The sequence below is a fragment of the Homo sapiens genome, chromosome 4, assembly GCF_000001405.40.
Source record: "Homo sapiens chromosome 4, GRCh38.p14 Primary Assembly".
Lineage (NCBI taxonomy): Eukaryota > Metazoa > Chordata > Mammalia > Primates > Hominidae > Homo > Homo sapiens.
This window is the reverse complement of record NC_000004.12, coordinates 42,522,343-42,534,949: the sequence shown is the minus strand read 5'-3', so window position 1 is coordinate 42,534,949 and position 12,607 is coordinate 42,522,343. Positions and strand designations below refer to the sequence as shown.

At 43.4% G+C, this 12,607-nt stretch overlaps 1 protein-coding gene across 12 annotated transcripts in view; it reads left to right on the top strand.

The window, feature by feature from the left end:
* Positions 1-12,607, top strand: part of ATP8A1 (ATPase phospholipid transporting 8A1) — a 248,733-nt gene that overhangs the window by 122,156 nt on the left and 113,970 nt on the right. For all 12 annotated transcript variants that reach the window (NM_001400027.1, NM_001400026.1, XM_047449508.1 and 9 more), the window contains one exon: positions 10,103-10,187. In NM_001400027.1, the coding sequence (NP_001386956.1) occupies positions 10,103-10,187 (85 nt within the window). The remainder of the gene's footprint in view (positions 1-10,102; positions 10,188-12,607) is intronic.

Here is a 12,607-nt window from a genome sequence, read left to right as displayed (position 1 = left end):
TTTTCCGAAAAAGACTGTATCTTTCCTTCATTTATGAAGCTTAGTTTCGCTGGATACAAAATTCTTGGCCGATAATTGTTTTATTTGAGGCTAAAGGTAGGTCCTCAATTCCTTCTAACTTGCAGGGTTTCTGCTGAGAAATCTGCTGTTAATCTGATAGGTTTTCATTTATAGGTTACCTGATGTTTTTGCCTCATAGCTCTTAAGATTTTTTTCTTCATCTTGACTTTAGATAACCTGCCGACTATGTGCCGAGGTGATGATCTTTTTGTGATGTATTTCTCAGGTGTTCTTTGAGTTTCTTGTATTTGGATGTCTAGATCTCTAGCAAGGCCAGGGAAATTTTCCTCGATGATTCCTTCAAATATGTTTTCCAAACTTTTAGATTTCTCTTCCTTAGGAACACCAATTATTCTTAGGTTTGGTCGTTTAACACAATCCCAAACTTGTTGGAGGCTTTGTTCATTTTTTTTAAATTCTTTTTTCTTTATCTTTGTCAGATTGGGGTAATTTAAAAGCCCTGTCTTTGAGCTCTGAAGTTCTTTTTTCTACTTGTTCAAATCTGTTGTTGAGACTTTCCATTTCTCTAAGTGTGGCCTTCATTTCCAGAGGTTGTGATTGTTTTTTATTTATGCTATCTGTTTCACTGGAGATTTTTCCAGTCATATCCTGCATCATTTTTTGGATTTATTTAAGTTAGACTTCACCTTTCTCTGGTGCCTCATTGATTAGCTTAATAATTGACCTTCTGAATTCTGTTTCTGGCAATTCAGAGATTTCTTCTTGAATTGGATCCATTGTGGTGACTTAGCATGATCTTTTGGGGTATTAAAGAACCTTGTTTTGTCATATTACCAGAATTGTTTTTCTGGTTCCTTCTCATTTGGGTAGACTATGTCAGAGGGAAGATCTGGGGCTCAAGGGCAACTGTTTAGATTCTTTCATCCCATGGAGTACTCCCTTGATTTGGTGTTCTCCCCCTTCCTCTAGGGATGGGGCTTACTGAGAGCCAAACGGCAGTGATTGTTATTTCCGTTCTTGATCTAGCCACCCCACAGAGATACCAGACTCTGGGCTGGTCCTGGGGAGTGTCTGCACAAAGCCCTGTGATATGATCCATCTTCAGGTCTCTCAGCTGTGGATACCAGCACCTGCTTTGGTGGAGGTAGCAGGGTAGTGAAGTAGACTTGGAGAGGGTCCTTGGTTGTATTTTTGTTAAGTGTGCTGGTTTTGTTTTGGTTGGCCTCCAGCCAGGAGGTGGCACTTTCAAGAGCTCATCAGCTGCTATAGTATAGGGAGGATGCAAGCTTGCCCTAGGGTCAGGCAGTAGGTGTGAAGCCATAGAGCTCCCAAGAGATGTCCTTTGTCTTGGGCTACCAGGGCAGGTAGACAAAGACTATCAGCTAGGGGCAGAGTCAGGCATGTCTGAGCTGAGACTCTCCTTGGGTGGGACTTGATGAGGCTGCTGTGGGGATGGGGGTGCGGTTCCCAGGCCAATGGAGTTATGTTCCCAGGGGGATTATGGCTGCCTCTGCTGCATCACACACATCACCAGGGAAGTGGGGAAAAGCTGGCAGCCACAGGACTTACCCAGCACCCATGTAGCCTGCAGCCCAAAAGGCTGGTCTCACTCCCACTGTGCACCCCCAACAGCACCAAGTTTGTTCCCAAGCAGCCAGTGAGCAGGGCTGAGAACTTGCCCCCAGCTACAAGCTTCCCAGCTGAGAAAGCAAGCTGACTCACAGTCCCTCAGCTGTCCCATGGAGCCTGCAGCAGCAGTCTTCCTCCTTCAAAAAGTGTGGATTCTCTTGGCTTTCCTGATATGTTCATGTGGTAGTTCTTGGAGCAAAAGTTCATGTCACGCACGTCCGTGTGAAGAGAGTTCACCAAACAGGCTTTGTGTGAGCAACAAGGCTGTTTATTTCACCTGGGTGCAGGTGGGCTGAGTCCAAAAAAGGAGTCAGCAAAGGGTGGTGGGATTATCATTAGTTCTCATAGGTTTGGGATAGGCGTACAAAGTACATTCTTAAGGGCTGGGGGGAATATTACAAAGTACCTTCTTAAGGGTGAGGGAGAATATATCGTATCAGTTAGGGTGGGGCAGGAACAAATCACAATAGTGGAATGTCATCCGTTAAGGCTATTTTCACTTTTGTGCATCTTCAGTTGCTTCAGGCCATCTGGATGTATACATGCAAGTCACAGGGGATATGATGGCTTAGCTTGGGCTCAGAGGCCTGACAATTCACAGTATGAGTCTCCACGCTGCTCCATCCATCTGAGTAGGAGCTGCAAGTTAGTCCTGCCTCCTATCTGCCATTTTCAACATTGGTATTTTGATAGGGATTGCATTGAATCTATAGATTGCTTTGGGCAATATGGTCATTTTAGTTATATTATTCCAATCCAGTGGGGCATGGGATGTTTTCTATTTTTTTTGTGTCACCTTCAATTTATTTATTTTTTTTTTGAGATGGAGTTTGTCACCCAGACTGGAGTACAGTGGCACGATCTCAGCTCACTACAACCTCCACCTTCTGGGTTCAAGCGATTCTCCTGCCTCAGCCTCCTGAGTAGCTGGGATTACAGTCACCCGCCATCATGCCCAGTTAATTTTTTGTATTTTATGTAGAGACAGGGTCTCACCATGTTGGCCAGGCTGGTCTTGAACTCCTGACCTCAGGTGATCAGCCCACCTCGGCCTCCCAGTGTGCTCCCAATGTGCTGGGATTACAGGCGTTTTGTTTTTCTTATAGAGATCTTTCACCTCCTTGGTTAAATTTATTCCCGTGTATTTTATGTGTGTGTGTGTCTGTGTGTCTGTGTCTGTGTGTGTGTGTATTTTTTTGAGGCAGGGTCTCACTCTGCTGCCCAGGCTGGAGTGCAGTGGTATGATCATGGCTCACTGCAGCCTTGACTTCCTGTGCTCACATGATCCTTCCACCTCATACTCCCGAGTAACTGGGACTGCAAGCACGCACCACCACACCTGGCTAACTTTTTTGTGTTTTTTGTAGAGGTGGGGTTTCACCTTGTTGCTCAGGCAGGTCTTGAATGCCTACCTCAGCCTCCCAAACTGCTAGGATTACAGGTGTGAGCCACCGCACCTGGCCCTGGTATTTTATGTTTTTTATGACTGTTGTAAATGGGATTGGCTTTTTTCTTTCTCATCTAGATATTGTTGGTATATAGAAGTGCTACTGATTTTTGTACATTGATTTTGTATCCTGCAACTTGACTGAATTCATTTATTAAAATTTAAGTTTTTTGTTAGAGTCTTCAGTTTTTTGCAGATATAAGATATGTCATCAGCAAAGAGGAACAATTTGACTTCCTCTTTTCCAATTTGTATTCCTTTTATTTTTTTCTCTTGTTGATTGCTCTGGCCTTGACTTCCAGTACTATTTTGAATAGCTGTGAAGAAAGAGGGCTTCCTCATCTTGTTCCAGTTCTTGGAGGAAAGCTTTCAGCTTTTCCCTTTTCAATATGATGTTAGCTGGGGAATTGGTGAGGAAATACTCATGACAGTTACAGTCTTTGTTTCTGCAGCTGGTCATGTAGTCGTAACTGGTATTGTTGACTGCCCTCTTCTGCTACCCATTCTGTTTTCCCTTTGCCTTCAGCAAGCACCTCAGCAGGTTGTGGTTTTTTTCCTGGTGGAGTGACCCAAACCTTCATTCCTGAAGGGTCTGGACCATTTGTAGTCCTGCCTGGATTGGGCTGTTGTAGTTTCCCATTGACCTTAATCACAGGGCATGGTAATACTAAGAGTCGCCCTAATGGATTCGCTGTATTCCGTACATACTCTTCCCTACCTCTGTTATGGAGCAGTAGACTGATTTCATCTTGGTAGTCTGGGTCAGTCACCCCAGCCAACACTGTAACTCCCTTAGCCTGTTGACTTAAAGGTAGGAGGAGCCCAAAGTGTCCAGGTGGCAATCTTAACTTCCAGTTTAATTGAATCATTGTTGTGTCTCCTGATAACAGTGTTCCTCCCTCTGGAACTAAGACCTCTAGGCCAGCAGAACATAATGTCGCAGGAACAGGAAGCAAAAATGTTGCTAGTGGATCACTAGGAGTGATGGTGAGTGGTGCCACTTCCACTTCCACCCCTTGATTCCTGGACCCCTGAATCCTGGCTATGGGAGAAACAGTACCATATATTGGATGCTGATTCAGAGCATACACGGCCTTCTGGAGAACTTTGCTCCGGCCCTGCAAAGTGTTGTCACCTAGTTGGCACTGTAATTGTAACTCAAAAGGCCATTCCACCCTTCTATCAATCTAGCTGCTTCAGGATGATGGGAACATGGTAAGACCAGTGAGTTCCATGGTAAGACCAGTGAGCCCACTGCCACACGTCTTTAGCCATAAAGTGAGTGCCTTGGCCAGAGGCAGTGCTGTGTGGAATACTGTGACAGTGGATGCATGAGCCCACTGCCACACTTCTTTAGTAAGTGCCTTGGTCAGAGGCAGTACTGTGTGGAAGATCTTGAGTCCACAGATGGTAGTCTTGGCAGAAGCACTGCGTGCAGGATAGGCAAACCCATATCCAGAGTAAGTGTCTGTTCCAGTGAGGATAAACCTCTGCCCTTTTCATGATGCAAAAATCTGCCACCAGGTGGCTGGCTGATCACCCCAAGGAATGGTGCCATATCAAGGGCTCAGTGCTGGTCTCTGCGGCTGGCAAATTGGGCACTCAGCAGTGGCCATAGCCAGGTCATCCTTGGTGAGTAGAAGTCCATGTTGCTGAGCCCATGCGTAACCTCCATCCTTGCCACCATGGCCACTTTGTTCATGGGCCCATTGGGTAATGACAGGGGTGGCTGGGGAAAGAGGCTGAGTGGTGTCCACAGAACAGTTCATCCTATCCACTTGATTATTAAACTCCTCCTCTGCTGAGATTACCCGTTGGTGAGCACTCACATGGGATACAAATATCTTCACGGTTTTTGACCACTCAGAGGTCCATCCACATACTTCTTCCCCAGATTTCTTTGTCACCAATTTTCCAGTCATGCTTCTTCCAAGTCCCTGACCATCCAGCCAAACCATTGGCTACAGCCCATGAATCAGTATATAATCACACATCTGGCCATTTCTCTTTCCATGCAAAGTGCACAACCAGCTGCACTGCTTGAAGTGCTGCCCACCGGGAAGATTTCACCTCACCACTGTCCCTCAGGGATGTCCTAGAAAGGGGCTGTCGTGCTTCAGCTGTCTACTTTCGGGTAGTGCCTGCATATCGTGCAGAACCATCTGTGAACCAGGCCCTAGTCTTCTCTTCCTCTGTCAACTGGATCATAGGGAACTCCCCATGAGGCCATCGGTGCAGGCTGGGGAAGAGAAGGCACAGTGGTAGGAGTGGAGACCATGGGCATTTGAGGCACTTCCTCACATAACTTACTTGTGCCTTCAGGACCTGCTCAAGCCTGATCACGTATATACCACTTCAATTTGATGATGCAGTGCTGCTGGTGCATGACCCACTTGATGGCTAGATGGGTCAGAAAGTACCCAGTTCATGATACGCAGTTCAGGTCGCATCGTGACTTGATGACCCATGGTCAAATGTTCAGTTTCCACCAAAGCCCAGTAACAAGCCAAGAGCTGTCTCTCAAAAGGAGAGTAGTTACCTGCAGATTATGGCAGGGCCTTGCTCCAAAATCCTAGATGCCTCCACTGTGATTCACCTATGGGGGCCTGCCAAAGGCTCCAAACAGCATCCCCGTCTGCCACTGACACCTCAAATACCATTGAATCTGCTAGGTCATATGGACCAAGTGGCAGAGCAGCTTGTACAGCAGCCTGGACCTGTGTCCGTTCTGGACCCCACTCAAAACTGGGGTCCAGTGGCCTTTAGGGTCACTTGATAAATGGGCCAGAGTAACACACCTAGATAAGGAATGTGATGCCTCCAAAATCCACATAAGCCCACTAGGCATTGTGCCTCTCATTGTAGGAGGGGCCAAATGCAACAACTTATCCTTCACCTTAGAAGGAATATCTCAACAGCCCCCACACCACTGGACCCCTAGAAATTTTACTGGGGTAGAAGGTCCCTTAATTTTAGTCAGGTTTATTTCCCATCCTCTGGCACACAAATATCTCACCAATAAGTCCAGTGTGTTTGCTACTTCTTGCTCACTGGATCCAATCAGCATAATGTCATCAGTGTGATGGACCAGTGTGATATCTTGTGGAAGTGAAAAGCAATCAAGGTCTCACTGAATAAGATCATGACACAAAGCAGGAGAGTTGATATGCCCCTGGGGTAGGACAGTAAAGGTATGTTGAAGGCAAATTGCTTGGTGGGCCTTATAGGCAGGAGTGGAGAAAAAGGAATTTGCCAAGTCGGTGGTTGCATACCAGATACCAGGAGATGTGTTAATATGCTCAAGCAATGAAACCACATCTGGTACAGCAGCTACAATTGGAGTCACCACTTGGTTAAACTTCTGATAATCCACTGTCATTCCCCAAGATCCATGTGTCTTCTGCACAGGCCAGATGGGAGAGTTGAATGGGGATGTGGTGGGAATCACCACCCCTGCGTCTTTCAAGTCCTTGATGGTGGCACTAATCTCTGTAATCCCTCCAGGGATGTGATATTGTTTTTGATTTACTATTTTTCTAGGGAGAGGCAGCTCTCATGGCTTCCATTTGGCCTTTCCCACCGTAATAGCCCTCACCCTACCAGTCAGGGAGCCAATGTGGGGATCCTGCCAGTTGCTAAGTATGTCTATGCCAATTATGCATTCTGGCATCAGGGAAATGACCACAGGATGAGCCCGGAGACCCACTGGACCCACTGCAAGTCAGACCTGAGCTAAAACTCCATTAATTACCTGACCACCATAAACCCCTATTTTAACTGGAGGACCACAATGACATTTTGGGTCCCCTGGAATCATCACCAGCTCAGAGCCAGTGTCCAGTAGTCCCCAAAATGTCTGATCATTTCCCTTTCCCCAGTGCAAAGTTACCCTGGTAAAAGGCCAGAGGTCTCTCTGGGGAAGGATGGGAGAAGGATTAACAGCATAAATTGTCGGTTATGTAGTGGAGTCCTTCCTCTAGGGTACCCAGCCTCCCCTTCATTCAAGGGGTTCTGGGTCTATAAACTGGCTCAAGTTTGGAAATTGATTGAGGGACTGTGATTCTCTGTTTTTGTAACTCAAAATTAGTCTTTTATCCATTCGACCTAGAAGTTTTCTGCTTATATAAATTTGAAAACTCAGGCAATTCCTTTTGAGTGTAGTGCATCTCCTCATGAGTCACACTCTCATCCTCACGTCTAGGGACTCGCTGGGACTTTAGTCTAGTTATAGGTCTAGAAGCAAACAGGGGTGTTGGGGGTGGGTCCAGAAGAGAATCAACATCATCTTGCCTGGCAACTGCTTCAGGGGAGGCCATCGTTGTTACCTCAGGCAGCACAGGCTTTATCTCCTCAGACAAAAGTGGAAAGGCTGATGGCAACATGGTTCAGAGAGGGGAAGTTGCCCCTACTGGGGATGGGGAAGCTGTTACTTCTGGCAAAAAAGGTTCATCAGAGTTTACAAACTCAGTGTCCCCAGCTTCATCAGGGTCCTCCCACACGTCCCCATTCCAAGTTGCGGGGTCCCATTCTTTTCCAATCAATGTCCTCCCTTTAACAGTAGACACCTGTTGAGGCTACGCATGCACCTTTCCTTGCGGGTCAGCCATTCGCATGATAACAGCTTGTGTCTGTTTTTCCACAATTTCAGCTCTTTCCCTGCAGGAGATAAGACTCTCACTCAGGGCAGTCTTAGCAGATTTGAGACTCAGTATCTGCTTCTGAAGCCAGGAGATAGAATCCCTGAGTTCATCATTTTCTTTCATTACTTTGTCCACTGAACTTAGGAGCAACCAACCAGCTTCATTATGTTCCTTGGTTCTCCACATATGGCCAAAGGTATTATGTATAGAGTCACTAAACTCATTGTCTGTCATGAAAGAAGAATCAGGAATGTCAAATGCATTTATTTTACATAACTCTCCAGTTTATGCCAAGGACTATCAGTGTTCTCCATACTACAGGTAGAGTCCTTAGCATTTTGGGGTCTAATCATATTAAGCAGCCACCTCCAGAAACCCCAAAACCAATGAAAGAACTCCATCTTAATATTCTGTTCCTCTAGAGCCACTCTTGGTACCAAAATCTGTATTAGTCAGGGTTCTCTAGAGGGACAGAATTAATAGAATAAATACATATATATAAAGGGGAGTTTCTTAAGCATTAACTCACACAATCACAAGGTCCCACAATAGGCCATGGGACCTGCAGGCTGAGGAGCAAGGAGAGCCAGTCTGAGTTCCAAAACTGAAGAACTTGGAGTCCGATGTTCAAGGACAGGAAGCATCCAGCACGGGAGAGGCTAGGCCAGTCTTGCCATTTCACATTTTTCTACCTGCTTTATATTCGCAGGCAGCTGACTAGATTGTGCCCACCCAGATTAAGGGTGGGTCTGCCTTCCCCAGCCCACTGACTCAAATGTTAATCTCCTTTGGTAACACCCTCACAGACACACCCAGGATCAATACTTTGTATCCTTCAATCCAATCAAGTTGACACTCAGTATTAACCTTCACAATGTTTATTCATTTTTCATGTGTAGGCATGGCTAGCCGACCCATTTTCATTTTAAAAACATACTATACATGTAATGCAGAAGGCCACATCTTTCTTCTGCTTTTTCTCAACACTATAAAGAAGGTAGAAAATTAATTTTTCTCATTCTAAACGTCAGTGTCTTCCGCTAGAATGTTTGGATACAGTACCGAATTTAATCCTTTTAGCTATATTACTTATCACTTTTGTTTTCATGATTTTAATGTTTTCAAATATTTTCTTAGTTTTAGAATGGAATGTATTAATATCATTGAAAATATTATTTTCAAATTTAATTCTTCTTAAAAGAAGAATTTACAAATGATTCTTCTCATTCTCAGGAAGGAGCCATGAGGGGAAACTATCATTTCCTTTCGCTTTGCCCCCCACTTCCCATTCCATCACTGAAAAATGAAAAGAAATTCAGAATTGCGGCTTGGAATACTCCATCTGTTCTGAGGTCACTAAGTTGTGTTTCTCTCAAGGGTTCTAAATCATACTCCATTAGTCTGCTTCCAAATATCAGCCCTGAGACTGGAGACCCCAAAATGGGTAATACCACTGAGAAAGTAATTGCAGATAAGTGATTTATTTTTTCCTGGTCTAATAAAACCGTGAAGGTTGAACACTAAAATTCTTAAAGCACTAAACCAAAGCTGCATAATAACTAAATGAATAGTAGGCAGTTTATAAAAGAGCAAGAACTAGAGAAGCATAAGTGATGCATGAAGTTAAAGCTGAAAAGGACTTTAAACATAATCTGGTAACAAAATTTTACAGATTAAGTAAACTGAGTCTTAAAGCTAAAGTGACACAATCAGAAATATTCAGCTATTTAAGGCATTTCGAGAGTTGTTCGAGGTTCTCCCACAATACCCACTGGCCCTCTCAGTGGATTTAGTCCTGTATTAAAGTTTGTTCTTCTGTGAGCACTGGTCCCATAAACATGCTCTAAACCCTAAAAAGTTCTGTGATTCAACGAGTTTGGGGCACATAGCATGTAGCCCCTTCGAGATCCACTGTGCACACTGGCATTTTAAAGTCCCCGAGGATTATTCCAGCAAGACAAGCTCTGTTGCTTTGCTCAGTCCAGTGTTTGCCAAACTTACTTGAGTTCTGGACCGTTCTTCCTTGCAGCACCTATGAATACCTATGAAGGTGTTCTGGAAAACCTTCTGGGTTAGGGTAGATCTTGCAGCATGTGGAAGGTAAGTGAGGTAGAATATGAGATATGAACATGGGAATAACTACAGTTTTATTCAGAAAGAGGAAAGATGAAGATGCAAGACTAGAGACTTATTAATGTCACTAGCAAAATAGTATTATTAGACAAAAATATCTTGTTCTTTAAAACGAATGCCAAAAGAGATTGGTGGTTGTTACACTGATTTCCTACTGCTATTGTTACCAACATCAACTTTATTAAACCCAGAATGCTTAATTAAATCATTTTACCCTCTGTTTGTTTTCCAGGACACTGTAATTTATGATCGACTGGCAGAGACGTCAAAATACAAAGAAATTACCCTAAAACATTTAGAGCAGTTTGCTACAGAAGGTAAGTGTAATTTGGCAATAAAGCATGATTAAAATACAAAGAAATCATATACTTCTGATACCTTGCAGGATCCTTATTATTATTAGACTTAGAGATTCCTAAAGTAAGATATCAGCTGTTGGCAATTTAGATTTTACTATATGCTGTTCCCAGCCTGTGTTTTTATTTTACTTTCCTAAAACTATATTTATTAAAATTTTGAGCAACTTTGTCCCCACGTTTTAGATGGTAGGGCCTATAAATGTTTTACTTTTAGAGTGGATCATATTTACCATTTAGATACTTCACTTTGTATCTCGAGCAATTCATTAGGAAAAGAAGCAAGACTCAAAAAAAAAAAACAGATATTCTAATCTGAATAAGAAAGAAGAAATAAACCTAAACTGTTAAAATAGCTATTAAATTTAGTTTCAACTCAGGACTTTCTATTAAAAACTTACGTAACTATTAAAATTGTTATTCAATTTATTACAACTCAAGACTTTTTTAGAGAGCCCCTACCACACGCCAGGCTCTGTGTGAGGCCTGAGAATCCAAAATAGGATAAACAAGCTTTGCTCTGTCTCTCTGTCCTCCTGAAATATATTATGTGCAAGGCAAAGCAGTACATAGTCTAGAGAGAGGATCTAGGTTAGATGAAAGGCAGCGAGGGTTGTTAAACATGAGAGTCAGTTACTACAAGAATTTGTAGTCTTATCTCGTACTTAACAATGGTAGTTATAGCTGAATCTAAATCTCCAGTCTCAGTTTTCACTCCTATCTGTTTCAGCTGGAACTGTTGCCAGTGGCACCAAACTGACCTAATCAAATACTTTTTCCCGTTAATTCAGGCAGAGAAAAGATAGGAATGTTTTTTAAAACACTAGGCAAAAACAAAAGCCAAAACAAAAAAAAAGATGGCTTTTGAAAAACCTCTGTGCAGTTCTTCAAAATGTAAAAGCATGGAAACATATATATTCATAGGATTCAGATTCCATAAAGCCCAGCCTCAGTCCTTGGCAGGTGCAACCTACCCAGCATACAACACAGGTTCTTTTTGTTTTGGAGGAGAGCTGAGGGCATCTTTCTCCTCTCTAGATGTGATGTTAAAGATACTCAACTCATAGATTTTAATGGTTTGGCCCCCACCTCTACCCTATTCTTTCTGTCCCTGGGCTGGATGACACTTCTCCCCATGACTACCCTCCAGTAAGTTTTCCAGCCAAGTTTCCAAGAGAGAAAAACATGTCCTAAGATGGCCTCAGGGATTTAAGTTCCACTCTCAGTGATCTGGCAATACACCACCCTTTCTTGGAAGGTAGAGTTCTCTGGGAACTTTGTATGTTCCTTGCTTCTTACTTCTGATGTGTTCCCTTAAACACATTTTGTCTTGAGATCACTAAGCCTAGCATCTGGTCCTAGTCATTCTAAGAGTTAAATGACCTGGAGTGAGGGCGTTGTCTTCTTGTGAACCTAGATATCTAACTGCTTCCTTGGGTAGCTGACAAGTGTTTTGGCCTCTCCTTTCTTCCAATGCATCTACTCTTTTCTGGCTGAGAGAGATGTGAGTTACGAAATTGGCAGGCACCAGACACAGGGTGGGTCACTTTACATATCAGCTTTGATTGTTTTCCCGGGGTATATCTGCTGGCAGTTCTTTTTTGCCACTATCCCTCAACTATACTTAGACTTTTAAACTACAGATTTATGATGACAAAGAATAGTAATAAATGCAGTCATATATCCTAGTAAGAGGAAGGTGGCTTTCCCAGTAGACCCCACCAGGGTCTCTCTTCCTTTGTAAACATCTGTGAGGCCTCTATAATAAGTCAGCCACTATGCTTGGTACTGAAGAACTCTGGGTCCCTGCTTTCCAAGTGCTTTAATAGAGGAGACACACAAGAAAAACTGTAAAACATTGTCACTCACGCTGTAGGAGTGTTACTGCCTTTGGTATCTAGGTGAGAGGAGGGTGCATCAAAGAGCTGATTTTCAGAGCTGAGTCTTAAACTGCTTGCAAGGCAGACAGTGGGCAGTCGTTGGGAAAAGCAGAATGGAGAAAAAGTTACCAGCATGTGCAAAGACCCCCCTATGTGGGAAGTGAATGGCAGGGAATGAGAGTGAAGGCACCTGATGAAACATGTATAAGCCGTGCTTTGGGGCTTAAATTTTGTCCTGGGGAAAAATTGGAAGATTCGAAGCAAAGAACTGCTTGATAAGATTCAGATTTTAGAAACGCCACACTATGCATGGAAGATGGATTAAAAGGGTTGGGAATTAGAAGCAGGGTACCAATTTTAAAGACCAGGGGAACATTAATCTACATTTTATACTAAGTTTTTGTCATAATTTAATTGGACTTCATCATATTGTTTGTATGGAATCACTTTTTTCAAAATGGGACTTTGTGAAATAAAAACAGAAACCTCAGACTTCTGAAG